Source organism: Homo sapiens, chromosome 7 (assembly GCF_000001405.40).
Source record: "Homo sapiens chromosome 7, GRCh38.p14 Primary Assembly".
Taxonomy (NCBI): Eukaryota; Metazoa; Chordata; class Mammalia; order Primates; family Hominidae; genus Homo; species Homo sapiens.
In genome coordinates, this window is record NC_000007.14 from 96,531,660 (window position 1) to 96,547,442 (window position 15,783).

Consider the following 15,783-nt stretch of genomic DNA (forward strand, 5'->3'; position numbering starts at 1 on the left):
TTGAAAGAAAACTTCCTAAGAGTTAAAATAAGAATACATGACAAGGATCAGAACATGTAGATGCTCAGTGTTAAAGAAATTTTAACATTTACCCTATTATTACTGGTAGTTAATATGGCAAGAATCTAGACATTTCAGAATTTCTATGTGCATTTCTAGAAAATATTATGAATGGCAATACTAAACACCTTCTCTGTAAGAATCAAGGTACTATTTAGTTCCCAATATTTTTATCACTTTCATTTTTATCCCTATTAAGTATTTTTACAGATCTAATTGAAATGTCTTCATCTGCTCTGTGAAGACTTCCTCAATTCTTCTGGAAAGTTAGTCTTCCTTTTCTTGAGATCCCATGGCCTCTGCTCAGTCCTCCCTGGGACATTGTAAGTGATCTACCCTCTGTTTGCCTCACCCATTAGGTTCCGGGCCCTTTGATATAGGGGCTGTATTAATATATCTTTAAGGTCTGGCAGTATGTGGCAGAATACAGGCTTTCATTTTCCTAAATTCAAACAAGCTAAAACATGTTTTAAAAAAATCATTAGTATTTAAAAAATATTTTCTGGGATGAGCCCAAAGTTCTGTTTTTATTCACTTTTCCCAAATTAATTTTTTACATTGCCAAGGCAATATAAAAAGACACAGAAAAGTTTGAAAAAAAAACCCTCTGATTCCACCTCACAGTCACTGCTAATATTTTGGTAAGAGTAATAAGCATTCAGTGTTGTCTTGGACACCAGATGACACTTGAGGTTGTCTTCATGGAGCATTACAAAATAAACAATGTTTACTATGAGAATTTGAGTGCTGCTGCTCAGCTTTTCTTTCATAGGCCCTCAGATATAATATTTCTTAACCTTCTTCATTGGGGAACATTTAAAAATGGTGCATGTTCATTGTTGCCAACATTCCTGACTGGTAAATTGATAAACAGATCTTCCTGTTGTAGTTCTTGCACCTGCATGAGGCTGTCTTCCATAACATGCTTAGCCAGGGTGTAGTGGATGCATCTGCTTTATGAGTTAACTGACAGAATTTGTTTATAAACCCACTGAAGAGCTAAATGAAGCAAAATGCATTATCGTACTTGCTAATTACATTTCATTTCAGCTGAAAGCTTATTACAGATACAGCCTGAAAACCCGACTTTTTAATTTTGTTTACAGCCACTTCTGCTTTGACTTCAAACCCTACAAGATGTTTTTCTCCACAAAATTCAGGAGGATCAAAGCTGGCTGGAGGACTCTGTGGTATTGGTTAATATCTCCTGAACTGCACTTGCTAATAAGAAAAGACTTTTACTTCCGCTACAGATTGGTATCAGTACTTGTTCTAATGGACTCCTTAAACATCCAGAAATGCACAATATTTTCACTTGCCTTTAACTCACCACTTTCTGGGAGGAAGTTCCATCTCTTATACACCCAGCAATATGACTGTAAGCACAAAACAAGCTGAACCCCAATGCCACACATATCTGAACTAGCCACATTCTTAACACTGTCACGTCAGCTCAGATGTGCTCTCCTCCTTTTTCATCAAAATGAAACTGTCCCCAGAATGTCATTAACCACTAGCTTTGTGTGTATTCAGGAATGGCAAAACCCATGCTGACCTTGGCTCCATTGCTAGTTGACCCTTCCCACATTCCCCCTAAAAAGCAATTTTCTCCTCCCACCGTCTCCATCAATCTAGAGTCATCAAAGATGATCATTACCTGCTACTACCTTCTAGAAGAGTCACCCGCAAAATTGCTCTTCTGTATAGTGACCCTGAATCTCTAGGCTGTTTAATTTATTTCACTTCTTTATAATTAAATTAGACTGTCTGATATTTGTGTATTATGGTTACTTTTTTCTTAGCTTCTCCATTCTACCACAGCTGCAGATGCTACCTCAGAAATCCATCATAAGCTTGTGAAGGTAGCAGAAACGGCAGGCGCTGAATTATTTGGATATCGCTGACAAAGCCTTTGTTATTCCCTCCTTTGGTGTCCCTACAGGGCAATTTTCAAAGTCCCTGGAGTCCTCTGGGGGGTCCCTAAGATACTTCAAAGAGGCCATGGGTTCAAAAGTATTTTCATAAAAATACTAAGGTATTATCTGCCTTTTTCATTGCATCATCATTTGAACTGATGGTTCAAAAGCAGTTATAGCTACAAGTGCCAGTACCTTAGTTTGAATCAAGGCAGTGGCACCAAACTGTGTAGTAGTCCTATTTGTCATCACTGTGTACTCACAGGAAAAAAAAATCCAGTGTAACTTAATAATGTTCTGGTGAAGCAGTAAAATAATATTAATTGTATTAAATCCCGACCCCTGAGTGCAACAAAATGAGAGGTATACGTAAAGCACTTTGCTGCTTACTCAAGTACAATATACATCTATGCAGATATCTGAGTTGAGAGCTGAACTAGCTGGGTTTTCTTTTCATGGAACACCATTTTACTTGAAAGAATGACTGACAAACTAAGGTTATTTATACTTAGGTGTTTGGCAGACATTTTGTCAAAAATGAACAAAGTGAACTTGTCACTTCAGGGAAAACAACTGAGAGTATTTGTTGCCAACAAAAAAAAGTTCAGCTTTGAAACAAAATTTAGAATTTTGGAAAATTTGTAACTGCCACTGTGAGCTTGACAGCTTCCCCGATACTTTAAGGCTTTTCTGATAAGACTGGTGTGATAGTAATGAATGTGATCTGTTGATACTGCCTTATGAAATGTGTCAACATTTGGAAAATCTATTTAACTCAGTGAAGCAACATTTTCCAAATGACCAATGCATGATGTTACAAAATCAGACATGGGTAAAAGGTCCATTCGAAGTGCAAAACAGAATAGTTGATTTTAAGGTAATGGTATGACGAACAGGAAAATTTCATTGGTAATAGTTTCAGATTCTGCATTGCAATTATCTTTTAAGAAACTGCTGCTTGTGGAGTTTTGGTGTAGTATCACAGAATAATAACAATTATCTACAAAGGTTACTAAATACTCTTTCTCAATGTGAGAGGCTGGATCTTCTTCACATACTTCAATCAAAACAACGTATCGCAATAGATGGAATGCAGAAGCAAATGTGAGAATCCACTTACCTTGTATTAAGCCAGACATTGAAGAGATTTACAAAAATAAAATATTGCTCTTCTCACTAAATGTTTGTTTTTGAAAATATTGTTACTTTTTGTTAAAATATGTTAACATGTATACTTACTGCTTTTTAAGAAAAAATTCTTTTTAACATTTCTGTTTTAATTTCTAATATAATAGATACCAATAAATATAACCCATATAAATGAGAGTTCTTTGGAGTTATTAATAATTTGTAAGAGAGCAAAGGAGTCCTAAGACCAAAAACTTGAGGCCTTCTGTTCTATTTCATGCCATGGTTTGCATAGCAAAATTATCTGTTGTCTAACTCATAAGTTAGACATTACTTCAAGGTAGCCATCTGCACACAAATGTTTTGTATTTGCATGTATGGCAAAAAATAGACTAAATTTCTAAAATTTTGTGTACCTTAATAAGCAAGCTCTGTAAAGTTAAATTTGTAAAATTTTGCATTAAATAAACTAAGAACACCTGTTTTACAATGGTCTAGTGTCCTAGACCACTAAATTTTTCAGTATGTTGAATATAATCATTCTTACAAGCAAAAATCCTTAAGGAAAAGACATATGGTTAACTTTGTGTTTTTTTCTTTTCGAATATATGTATTTAATGCTATAAAATGTCCTGTAAGCACTGTTTTTACTGCATCCTACAAATTTTGATGTCATATTTTAATTTTCTTTTTTATTAAATATTTTAACTTTCATTTTAGGTTCAGGGATACATGTGCAGGTTTGTTATATAGGCAAACTCACAACTTGGAAATTTCACGTACAGATTCTTTCATCACCCAGGCACTAAGCATAGTGCCCAACAGTTTCTTTTCTCTGAATCTCTCTCTCCTCTCCCCTTCCTTCCTCCCCAGTATCTGTTGTTCGCCTCTTTCTGTCCATGTGTTCTCCTTATTTAGCTCCCTCTCATTAGTGATAACATGTGGTATTCGGTTTTCTGTTCCTGTTTTAATTCACTTAGGATAATGGCTTCCAACTACATCCGTGTTGCTGTAAAGGACATGATTTTTTACTTTGTTACGGCTGTCTAGTATTCCATGGTATACATGTACCACATTTTCTTTATTCAGTCTACCACTGATGGGCATTTAGGTTGATTCCATTTCTTTGCTATTGTGAATAGTGCTGCAATGAACATACAAGCACATGTGTCTTTATGGTAGAATAATTTATATTCATTTGGGTACATATCCGGGAGTGGGATTTCCGGGTCAGATGGTAGTTCTGTTTTTAGTTCTTTGAGGAATAACCACACTGCTTTCCACAATGGTTGAAATAATTTACACTCCCACCAACAGTGTATAAGCATTCCCTTTTCTCTGCAACCTCATCAGCATCTGTTATTTTATATTCATTTAATTCAAAATGTTTTAAAATTCCTCTTGAGACTTCCTTGACCCATGTATTATTTAGAAGTGTGTGACTTAATTTCTAAATACTTGGGGAATGTTTTCCAGCTATCTTTCTGTTACCGGTTTCTGGTTTTATTCTATTGTGATTTGAGAACATACTTTTTATGATTTCTATACTTTTAAGTTCTCTGTGGCCCAAAATGTGGCATTTATTGGTGAATGTTTCTTGTGACCTTGAGAAGAATGTGTATTCTGCTGTTATTGGTAGGAGCATTCTATAGATATCAATGAAATCAAGTTGATGGATCATGCTGGTCAGGTCACATGATCAAGACTGATTTTCTTCCTGTTTGACCTGTCAATTACTAACAGAGGAGTAGTGAGGTCTCCAAATACAATAGTGGATTTGTCTATTTCTCCTTGCACTTCTATTAGTTTTGCCTCATGTACTTTGATGTTCTTTTGTTAGGCACATACACATCAAGGATTGTTATATCTTCTTAGAGAACTGAATAATTTTTCATGATGTAATGCTCCTCTTTGTCCCTCATGATCTTCTTTGTTCTGAAGTCAGCTTTGTCTGAAATTAATATAACTACTTCAGCTTTCTTCTGATCAGTTAAATGTGGCATATCTTTCTCCATCTCTATATTTTTAACCTATTTTTTACTTTATATTTAAAGTGTATTTCTCATAGACAACATAGCTGAGTCCTATTTTTCAAACACTCTTAACAATCTCTGTTTTTACTAAGTGTATTTAAACCAGTCACATTTAAAGTAACTATTGGTACAGTTGGATTAATATCTACTATACTAGAGACTTTCCTATTTATTTCATCTCCTTTGGTTTATTCTCCCTCTTTTACTGCTTTCCTTGGTTTTAACTTAGAATTTTATGTAATTCCATTCTGTTTCAAATATTATTGTATCAATTTTACTTAAAATGTTAGTAGTTGCCCTAGAATTTATAATAAACATTTTTAACTAATATAAGTCTACTTACTTTCAAATCACACCACCACTAATGATTAGTATAGGTGTCTCATAAAGACTATTCTCAATTTCTCTCTATGGCCCCTTGTGACATTGTTGTCATTCACTTCTCTTATCTATATGTTATAATCACCGAATGCATTGTTAGCATTGTTGCTTTGAACACTTTTTTTAGATCAATTACAAATAAGAGAAGTAAATGATTTTACTTTCATTTATTTTTACTTTGACACTTCTGTTTTCTGAATATAGAGTCAACTTTCTAACTTCTTTCTTCCTGAAGAAATCTTAACATTTTTTTCAGGGTATGTCTACTGGTGATTAATTACCTCAGTTTTTGCTTACCTGAGAAAGTATTTCTCCCTCACTTTTAAAAGATAATTTTGCTGGACATGGAATTCTAGATTTTTTTTTCTTTCAGTACTTTAAATATTTACTTCCACTCTGTTTTTACTTGCATGGTTTTCAATGGGAAGTGTACAGTAATTCTTGTCCTTATTCCTCTATAGTCCAGTGTCTTCCTTGCCCCACTTTGGCTTCTTTCAAGATTTTTTCTTTGTGCTTGATTTGCTGCAGGTTGATTATGATATGCCTAGATTTTTTGTTTCTTTGTTTTTCTGGGTTTTTTGGTTTGTTTTGTGTATTTATCCTGGTTGGTGTTCTCTGAGCTTCCTGGATCTGTGGTTTGGTGTCTCATTAATTTTGGAAAATTTGCAGCCATTATTACTTCAGATAATTTTTCTGCCCTGTCCTCAATTTCTTCTGCTTCTGGTATTCCAATTATGGAGATATTATGCCTTTTGAAATTTTCCCACATTTCTTTGGGGTTCTATTCTGTTTGTTTTCTTTTTTTAACTTTAATTCTTGTTTCTTTTTGTACTTCAGTTTAGAATGTTTCTGTTGACTTATTTTCTTCAGGCTCACTGACTCTTTCTTTGGTTGTTTTGAGTGTACTTATAAGCCCATCAGAGACACTTATAATTTCTTTAATAGTGTTTTCTTTTATTTCTCTAGATTATTTATTAGACTTTCTGTCTCTCTGCTTACATTACCCAAATATTCTTGAGTGTTGTTTACTTTTTCTATTAGAGTCTTTAACATATTAAGCATAGCTATTTTCAATTCCATCTGAATTTAAATTCCCAACCCTAATTCCAAAAGCTATGCCATGTCTGAGCCTAATTCAGATAGTTGTTTTGTCTCTTCAGACTATGTTTGCCTTTTATATGCTTTGTAAATTTTTGCTGAAAACTAGACATATTGTGTTGGGTAATAGGAGGCAAATAGGCCTTCAGTGTGAGGATTTATGCTAATCTGGCTAAAAGTTGGATTGTGTTTAAAATTTTCTGTAGCTATAGGTGCAAAAGGACTCACCTTCCTCTAATGTCTTTGTTTTTTCCCCATTTGACTTGGGGCTTCCCTAAGTTCTACTCTTCAAAGAGCATCTATGTCTTGCAGCTCTTTCAGCTATGATCTACTATTATACTGAAGCCCTGTTAATGTGGTGGTGAAGTATGGAGGAGGGGAAGCATTGTAACATCTTACAATATACTCCCATTGTTTAGGCATGTGTCTCTGAGTTGTGAACTTCAGAAAAATATAGCTCTACCCTCTGCTCTCACTTCCCCCTTTTGGTGAGACAGAAAGGTTAGAGGAGACTGGAATGGGAGAAATGCCCTTTCCTCGGCTGAGATAGAGCTGCGGTAATGTCTTTGCCCCTGGACAGTAGTTCTTTGCTAAGAAGCTGGTCATATTGCACAATGATTACTCCTCTTTTCTAGTCAGAACCATGAAGGATCTTCCTCAGATTTTCAATGTGAGAACCTGCTATGGTTGCTATAAATAAAATCCATGATCCCCTTAACACTGCTACATAAGACTGTGGTTTCCTTCATGTTAGCAGACACTTCCTTTTGTTTTCTTTGGTAAAACAAGCTAGCATGTTCAAGGTTCCAATCTGTCAAGATACTGAGAATGACCTCTAGCCATCAGCCCTCAAGGAACTGAATCCTGCCAGCAACTGTATGGATGAGCTTGCAAGTGGATCCTTCCCCAGTTGAACCTTCAGTTAAGACCACAGACTCTGGGCTAACACCTTGATTATAGATTTTTGAAAGAGCATGAAGCAGAGAATCTGGCTAAGCAATGGCCAATTCCTGAACCACAAAAACTGTGAAATAATACTTACATGTTGTTTTGAGCTGCTATTGGGAGTAATTTGGTATGTAGCAATAGATAACTAATATAATATATACCAGAAATAACAAGTTGAAGAAAAAAATTCCATTCACATGTTTAATGAAATTATAAATTTATCCACTCAACAAGATTTTGTTATTGTGTTGCTCCTACAATATGGCACTGAGCCATTTAAAATATAATGGTAAGCTAAAAACAAACACAGTATAAAATTCTAGAAGAATTAGAAATTCTATTTACAACTGGAAATGATGGGATCCATATGCATGAAGTTATCGCATTGAAAAAAAGCCTTACTAAAATATATAAAATATGATTTAAAATAATGTGTTGAAAAGGATGCAATATCCTTGGATAAGCCAGAAATAAGCCTCCTGGGGCAAAAACTTTGGATTCATTGCTGCAACCTCAGCACTCAGACCAGGGCCTGTTTCATGATATGTGCTCAATAAATACTTGTTGAATAAATGAAATGTTAAGACAGCTCTCCTAAATGAATTCATGGGCTTAATGTAATCTTGATACATTAAGGTTTTATTAAAATAATTTTATAATATTAGGCTGGTGCAAAAGTATTTATGGTTTTTGCCATATAAAAGTAATAGCAAAACCTGCAATTACTTTTGCATCAACCTAATAAATTATAATATATAAATAGGTTATAAATATAATAAGAATTATAAAAATAAGTTATAAAAATAATTCAAAAATCATCACAAACGATAAATTTACAACTTATATAAAAAATTGAAAAAGAATTCTTAACATTGTGAAACTGATAATACAAACAGTAGCACTAGCACAGAGAATCAATTGGCAGATCAACTGAATGAAACTCAAAACTCTGAAAACAACCTAATATTTATTTTTTAAAACTTTATGACAAAGAAAACATCACCAATTAATAAAATTAGGCTGCATTTGAGTGTTGAGAAAATTGGATATTTAGGGAAAAGAAATCAAGACAATGTCGGGTTCACACAATACACAAAAATAAATTTCATATGATTTAAATGATTAAGTATTTTAAAATCAAACAAATTAAAATAGATAAATATTCAACTCATCTCAGTATATAAAATGGCATTCTGTTAATAAAATTAATAGGGGAAAATAATTAATATTATGCCTATAAAAATGAAACATTCTTGAACCTCAAATATGATCAAAAAGCAAACTTCAAATTTACACAAATATTTATAACCAAGGTGACAGATAATGATAGATAAACTTCACCTATAAAGATACCTTTGTAAATCAATAAGAAAACACTGTTACTTTTTAAAAATAATTTCAACTTCTATTTCAGATTCAGGGGGAACATTTGCACGTTTGTTACATGGACATATTGTGTGATGCTGAGGTTTGAGGTACGGATGATCCTGAAGCACAGGTAGTGAACATAGTAGGTTTTCAACCCCCCAGTAGTTTCCAGTGTCTATTATTGCCATCTTTATTCCATGAGTACCCAATGTTTAGCTCCCACTTATAAGTGAGAAAACACGGTATTTGGTTTTCTGTTCCTGTGTTAATTTACTTAGGATAATGGCCTCCAGGTGCATCCTGGTTGCTGCAAAGGACATGATTTCATTCTTTCTTATAGCTGTGTAGTATTCCACAGCATATATGGACCACATTTTCTTTAATCCACCATTGATGGGCCCCTAGATTGATTCCATATATCTGCTATTATCTGTGAATAGTGCTGTGATGAATATGTGAGTGCCTGGGTCTTTTTGGTGGAATGATTTATTTTCCTTTGGGTACATATTCAGTAATGAGATTGCTGGGTTGAACGGTAGTTCTGCTTTACGTACTTTGAGAAAGAAATCTCTAAACTGCTTTCCACAGTGGCTGAACTAATTTATATTTCCACCAATAGTATATAAGCATTTCATTTTCTCTTCAGCCTCGCCAGCATCTGCTGTTCTTGGACTTTTTAGTAATTGTCATTCTGACTGGTGTGCAGTGATGTCTCTTAGTGGTTTTTATTTACTTCCTCTGATGGTTAGTGATGCTGAACGTTTTTTATATATTTGTTTGCTGCTTGTATGTCTCCTTTTGAGAAGTGTCTGATCATGTCTTTTCCCACTTTTTAATGGGTTTTTTTTTTTGTTTTTTTTTTTTTTTTGCTGAATTGTTTAAGTTCCTTATAGATTCCGAATATTAGACCTTTGTTGGATGTATTATTTGCAAATATTTTCTTGCATTCTGTAGGTTGTCTGTTTACTATGTTGACAGTTTCTCTTGTTGTGCAGAAGCTCTTTAGTTTAATTAGGTCCCACTTATCAATTTTGTTTTGTGGCAATTGCTTTTGAGGTCTTAGACATTTCTCTCCCAAGGCCCATGTCCGGAATGATGTTTTCTAGGTTTTCATCTGGAATTCTTATCGTTTGAAGTTTTATATTTAAACCTGCAATCTATCTTGAGCTAATTTTTTTATATGGTAAAAGGTAGGTGCTGTTTCATTCTTAAGCCAGCTGTCCCAGCACCATTTATTGAGTAGTGAGTCCTTTCCCCATTGCTTATTTTTGCCAATTTTGTTGAAAATCAAATGGCTGTAGGTGTATGGCTTTATTTCCGGGTTCTGTATTCTGTTTCATTGGCCTATGTGTCTTTTTTTTTTTTTTTTTTTTTCCAATAGCATGCTCTTTGGGTTGCTGTGGCCTTATAGTGTAGCTTGAAGTTGAGTAACGTGATACCTCTGGCTTTTTTATTTTTGCTTAGGATTGCTTTAGCCATTTGGGCTCTTTTTTTGGGGGAGGGGGTTCCATATGAATTTTAGAATTTTTTTTCTAATTATGTGAAAAATTACATTGGTAGTTTGATAAAAATAGCATTGAACCTATGGATTGATTTTGGCAGTATGGCCATTTTAACAATACTGATTCTTCCAGTCTATGAGCATGGAATATTTTTCCATTTATTTGTGTCATCTATGATTCCATTTAGCAGTGTTTTGTAGTTCTCCTTGTAGAGATATATCACCTTATTGGTTACATATATTCTTAGGTATTTTGTTTGTGTGGCTGTTGTAAATGGTATTGTATTCTTGATTTGAGTCTTGGCTTGAATATTACTGGTGTATAGAAATGCTGCTGGCTTTTGTACATTGATTTTATATCCTGAAACTTTACTGAAGTCTTTTATCAGCTCTTGCAAGTTTTGGCAGAGTCTTTAGGGTGAAAACCCTATTATCTTGATTTTAAAATAGGAAAAAGGACACGAACTGATGATTCATAATAGAAAACATGCAAATGGAAAATAAAAAATGATATAATTTAATCTCAGTACTAATAAAAAGCTTTGTTAAATAAGTAGATAGCATTATTTTTATCTTTGAAATTGGCAAAATTAAAGAAAACACACATGGTAATATTTAATGATAACGAGGGTGTAGGAACTGGACATTCATATATGGTTTGTGAGAGTTTAAATTGCCACAAATTTTGGGGGAAATATGAATAATATATATATCAGGATCTTCATAAACTCAAATATCCTTTATTTAAGTTAGGTCAATTCATATGGACAAAGATCTGTATACCACTGTTATGAGAGCAAAACAAACAAATAAAACAATGGCAAAATTACCCTACAATGTAAATTTTCAAGAATATGGAAAGGATTGCATTTTTAATTTTTATGTTGGGATGTTATATAGCTTTTGAAAATTATGTTTTCAATGATGACATAAAAATGCTTACAATACAATGTTAAGATGAGGTGGAGAGGTGGGAGTGGAGGATGGGAAATGGATTTTTTTGTGTGTGTACAGTTACCTCTCCACATTTGTGGGTTCCACATGTGTGTATTCAAGCAGTCAGATCAAAAATATTTGCAAAAACAAATTGTGGACATGTACAGACTTTTTGTGTCATATTCCCTAAACAATAAAGTATAACAACTATTTACATTTACATTTTATTGGGAGTATAAGTAATCTAAAGGTGATTTAACATATACCGGAGGATATGTATAGGTTATATGCAAATACTACACTGTTTGATATAAGGCACTTATATATTCTGAATTTTGGTATTTGCAGGGGTTCCTAGAACCAATCCCCCATGTATACTGAGAGACAACTATACATTCACAAGCACATGCTAACAGATAAAGAAATATATATATATGAAACTGTTTACTGTTTAGTCCAATGTTTCAAATGTCTATAAAATAAATATATATTTTTTAACAATAAATCTTTAAGTGCAAGTTACATTGTTTCTTGTTTTCTGTCAATGTGAATTTGAAAATTTTCTTAATTTTCTATTATCACTTTTTTCTAAATATAGTAGTTTATGTATCATAGCATTAACCTAAGGAAATAACTTACTCCTAGCTCCCATATTCTGGATTCATCAGGTTTCTGTTCGGTTTTTTAGAATTTCTTAGTAACCTTGTTGCATTGACTACCAAATACATGCAGACTTGTGATTGGAAACAGAATATAATCAATGAATCAGAAAATCCACATGCTTGGTGGTAGCAGTAACATTTCATTGCTTTGGATTTGCATTTGTGATCATAACCCTTCATTTAGCTAAGAAGCTACCAGGGCCAGCTGGCACAACCTGTGCATTCACACTGGGCCCCATGCTTGGCTTAGTGCTCTATGATCACCATCTTGAAATTCTTAATTTCTAAGCAGGAGTGTCCCACAAATTATATAGCCAGTCCTGAGTTTTACAAATTAGTTTAAATTCTGGAAGGGGCCAATGGAGAACCAATCCCTAGCTAAGGTGGATTCATGAGCCCATCAGCGTTAAAACATCACAGAGAAATGAAAATCTCTTAATGTTCTTAAAGGCCTCTAGGAAAACACAATTCCACAACCACTTTTGCTAGCCTGTCCTTTATTTCATAATTTCTAGTATTATAAATTTTGCATATGTTTAACACAAACATCTCAGTTCCAAATAAACTTAATTTTTTAAAGTTTTCATCTCTAATAACAGAGAATTATGACACATCAGTTGTAGCACTGAGCACCTACTATGTTTCTACCTCTGTAAAATTTGTTAATATCTACCCTGCTTTTTTAAATAGGATTTTTATAAGGATCAGATGAACATAATATAATTATAAAGCGCTATAGAGAAATAAGCTATTGCTTAAATAACATATCTTTGTTTTCTCATTATAGATGTTTAATAAATTCCTTAAAAATAGTATTGATTATTCTCTTACTTATAAACTATCTTTAATGTTTAATGTTACTGAATATTAGCATACAATTGACACTTAAACAACATGGGGGTTAGGAGTACTGACCTACCTTGCAGTTGAAAATCCACACATAACTTTTGACCCTTCCAAAACTTAACTACTAATAGCCTATTATTGATCAGAAGCCTTATCAATAACATAAACACTTGATTAACACATATTTTATATATGTATAATATACTATATTCCTACAATAAACTAAGCTAGAGAACAAATGATATTAAGAAAATCACAAAGACGAGAAAATATATTTACTATTTATTAAGTGGGAGTGAATCATCACAGAGGTCTTCATTCTCATTGTTTTCACATTGAGTAGGCTGAAGAGGAAGAGGAGACCTTGGTCTTGCTGTCTCAGGGGCAGCATAAGCAGAAGAAAATTCAAGTTTAAGTAAACCCATGCATTTCAAAACCCATGTTATTCAAGGGTCAGCTGTCTTTTAAAGGCTTATTTATGATCCCTTACTCGTAACCACTTCTTCATAACTTACCATTGGCTCATTCTCTTGTAAAGCCTTCCCTGACCCCATGGAAACCTCTGGATTTGAGGAGAATCAGGAAGTGGATGCACCCCTTTTTAGGTTCTTCCACTCATGGTATTTGGGGCTTTTGTTATGATCCCAAAGAAAATCTGACTCCCAGGTCCTGGGGTTGTGGAGTTGTATGGGTGCTATTCTTTCTTTGAACTGATATTTCAAAAATTTTGTCCCATGTATTCTAACTTTCTTACTAATTTTATTTAAAGAGGAGTAATGGTTCATAGTTTTTAAGGGGGACACAGAAAGATTAAATGAAGGAAATCACAAGCTGCTCAGAACGCCAAAGGAATTGAGAGAAGCAGTTCCTAAAGCTGAAGTAGTAAAACTCAACAACTTGCTAAAACATTCCATATGAGGGGAAAAAAAAAATTTAAGACCAAGGAATTAGTGTGCTGCCAGCATAGAGATTATTTGTTAGCACTTGGCTAGCACTAAGTTTTATGTATTGCTAACAAGATGCTGATAACATGGTTTCTGAAAGATTTTCAATGCTTGGCAAATACGTTTATTCCTTAGTGTTTTATACTCAACATTTTCAGAAAAATCTAGGTTTCTTAAACATATATCCCAGTTATTTTAGCGTTATGCATAGAGCCCTGAATTTTCACTATTTAATACACATTCCAAAGACTATCCATATTTGGCCCATACAGATAAATGCAAACAATAGGATGGATGTTTCCATCCTGTGCTGTAAATCCTCCAGCTTAACATTTTGAGTCTGGACAATAGATATAGCTGAAAAAAGATTTGGATCCAAATTGTCTAGCTTACATTCCCATAGTTGATATAGCAATGCTATCAGCTGAGGAGTTTGAAGAGCCTAAAAGATTCTCTTCCTCCTTCCTTCAGAAATGGTGCTGAAGAATGAGACCTAAGAACCTAATTTGCTTGCATATTTGTACCCCATCCTTTGAATCAGCCTGTAAGCTAAGCAGCTGCTCTGCAGGCTTCTCTGTTTCTCTGAGAAGAATCTTGCTCTGATTTCTTGGAGAGGGGGTTGCTTCTTAGCCAAACCTGCCAATCATGTTGAATCTTGAAGCGATCAATGAGGCAAATTCAGATAAAGAGAACCCAACAACTGCCAAGACTGATCGGACACCTACTGCTAAATGTTGGAGATTCAAAGATGAATAAGATGATTCCTGTCTTTAAGGAACTCACCATCGGAGGGGAAGAAAATATGTAAAGAATTACAGTAAAATTTAAAAATGCTACACACAGTTCCTCATCTTGAACTGAATACACACTCCTCATACTCTCAAACCAATTGTCACATACCTTCTTTTGCTTACACAAGCATCTCTAGAACTTGTGAAGTAATACAATCTTTGAAAAATATTTATATAATCCTCCACATCTTTCACATGAAGAAAATGATGATCATTTTCAGTACCTACCTCTTATGTGTTGACAAAAACCAGCAGAGTTCTCACAAGTATTTCTGGATTTATGTTTAGGTTTGACTAATTAATTGAGCAGGAGAAAGAAGGATTAGTCACTATATAGTTATACAATTCATCAGCAATTTCAGGGCTCCATTAGCCAACACTGGAACATTCCACCGGCACGATCTTCATGAGGATATTGAACAGGTTTTATTCTGTGATTTGTTTTGGAATGAAATTCTACTCACCCTTCTTTGTGAATGAATGCTGTTCAACACAATTTAAATATTTAAAAACAGCATTGAGGGTGTGAGCTGTTGTTTAAGGATAAACTGTCATGCTTCAGCCTAAAGCACATTTTCTCAGTGGTCATTATTCTATACCTAGTTGATTAGAAGCCAAGGAGTTTGTCATCACTGGTAGCCACCTACCCATCATGATGGAAAAAGCATCATCCTTTCGGTTGTAGCTGGCATGAGGACATATATGTATCACATGGGGAACCTGCAAATTCTCTAATGCAGATTGCAGCTGAGAATGCAGAAATGTGAGCTTAGACTACAAGAACAGTGGAAGTCTTTTCTGAACACCTGTTTGTTATTGAGACAGCAATTACTGTATAGTTGAGAGGGAAACCAGGGAAGACACCCCAAACGACTGCAGCTTGAATTTTTAAGCTGAGCCTATATAAGCATATGCATTTTAGAATTGATGCTTCTTATATCTCCAGTGTTGATGTTTCCTTCATTGATGGTCTAGAGGACATTTAGGAATCTCTGTCAGCAAAACAGATCCTTTAAAATTTCTTAGGCTAAAGATAGTCTCTTAAGTATGAATAGGGGGTTGTAAGCTTTGATTATGCTTTGCTTTATCTGCGAAAAATCCTGGGAATGAATAGAGTATTGTGGTCAGTTTAGTCCCATGCCATTCATGGTCCAAAGGCAAAAATGTAGTG

The 15,783-nt window shown here is 34.2% G+C and overlaps 1 protein-coding gene across 4 annotated transcripts in view; it reads right to left on the reverse strand.

Annotated features, from left to right (window-relative positions):
- SEM1 (SEM1 26S proteasome subunit) overlaps positions 1–15,783 on the reverse strand; it is a 228,221-nt gene that overhangs the window by 50,034 nt on the left and 162,404 nt on the right. The gene's annotated exons all lie outside the window — the stretch shown is intronic.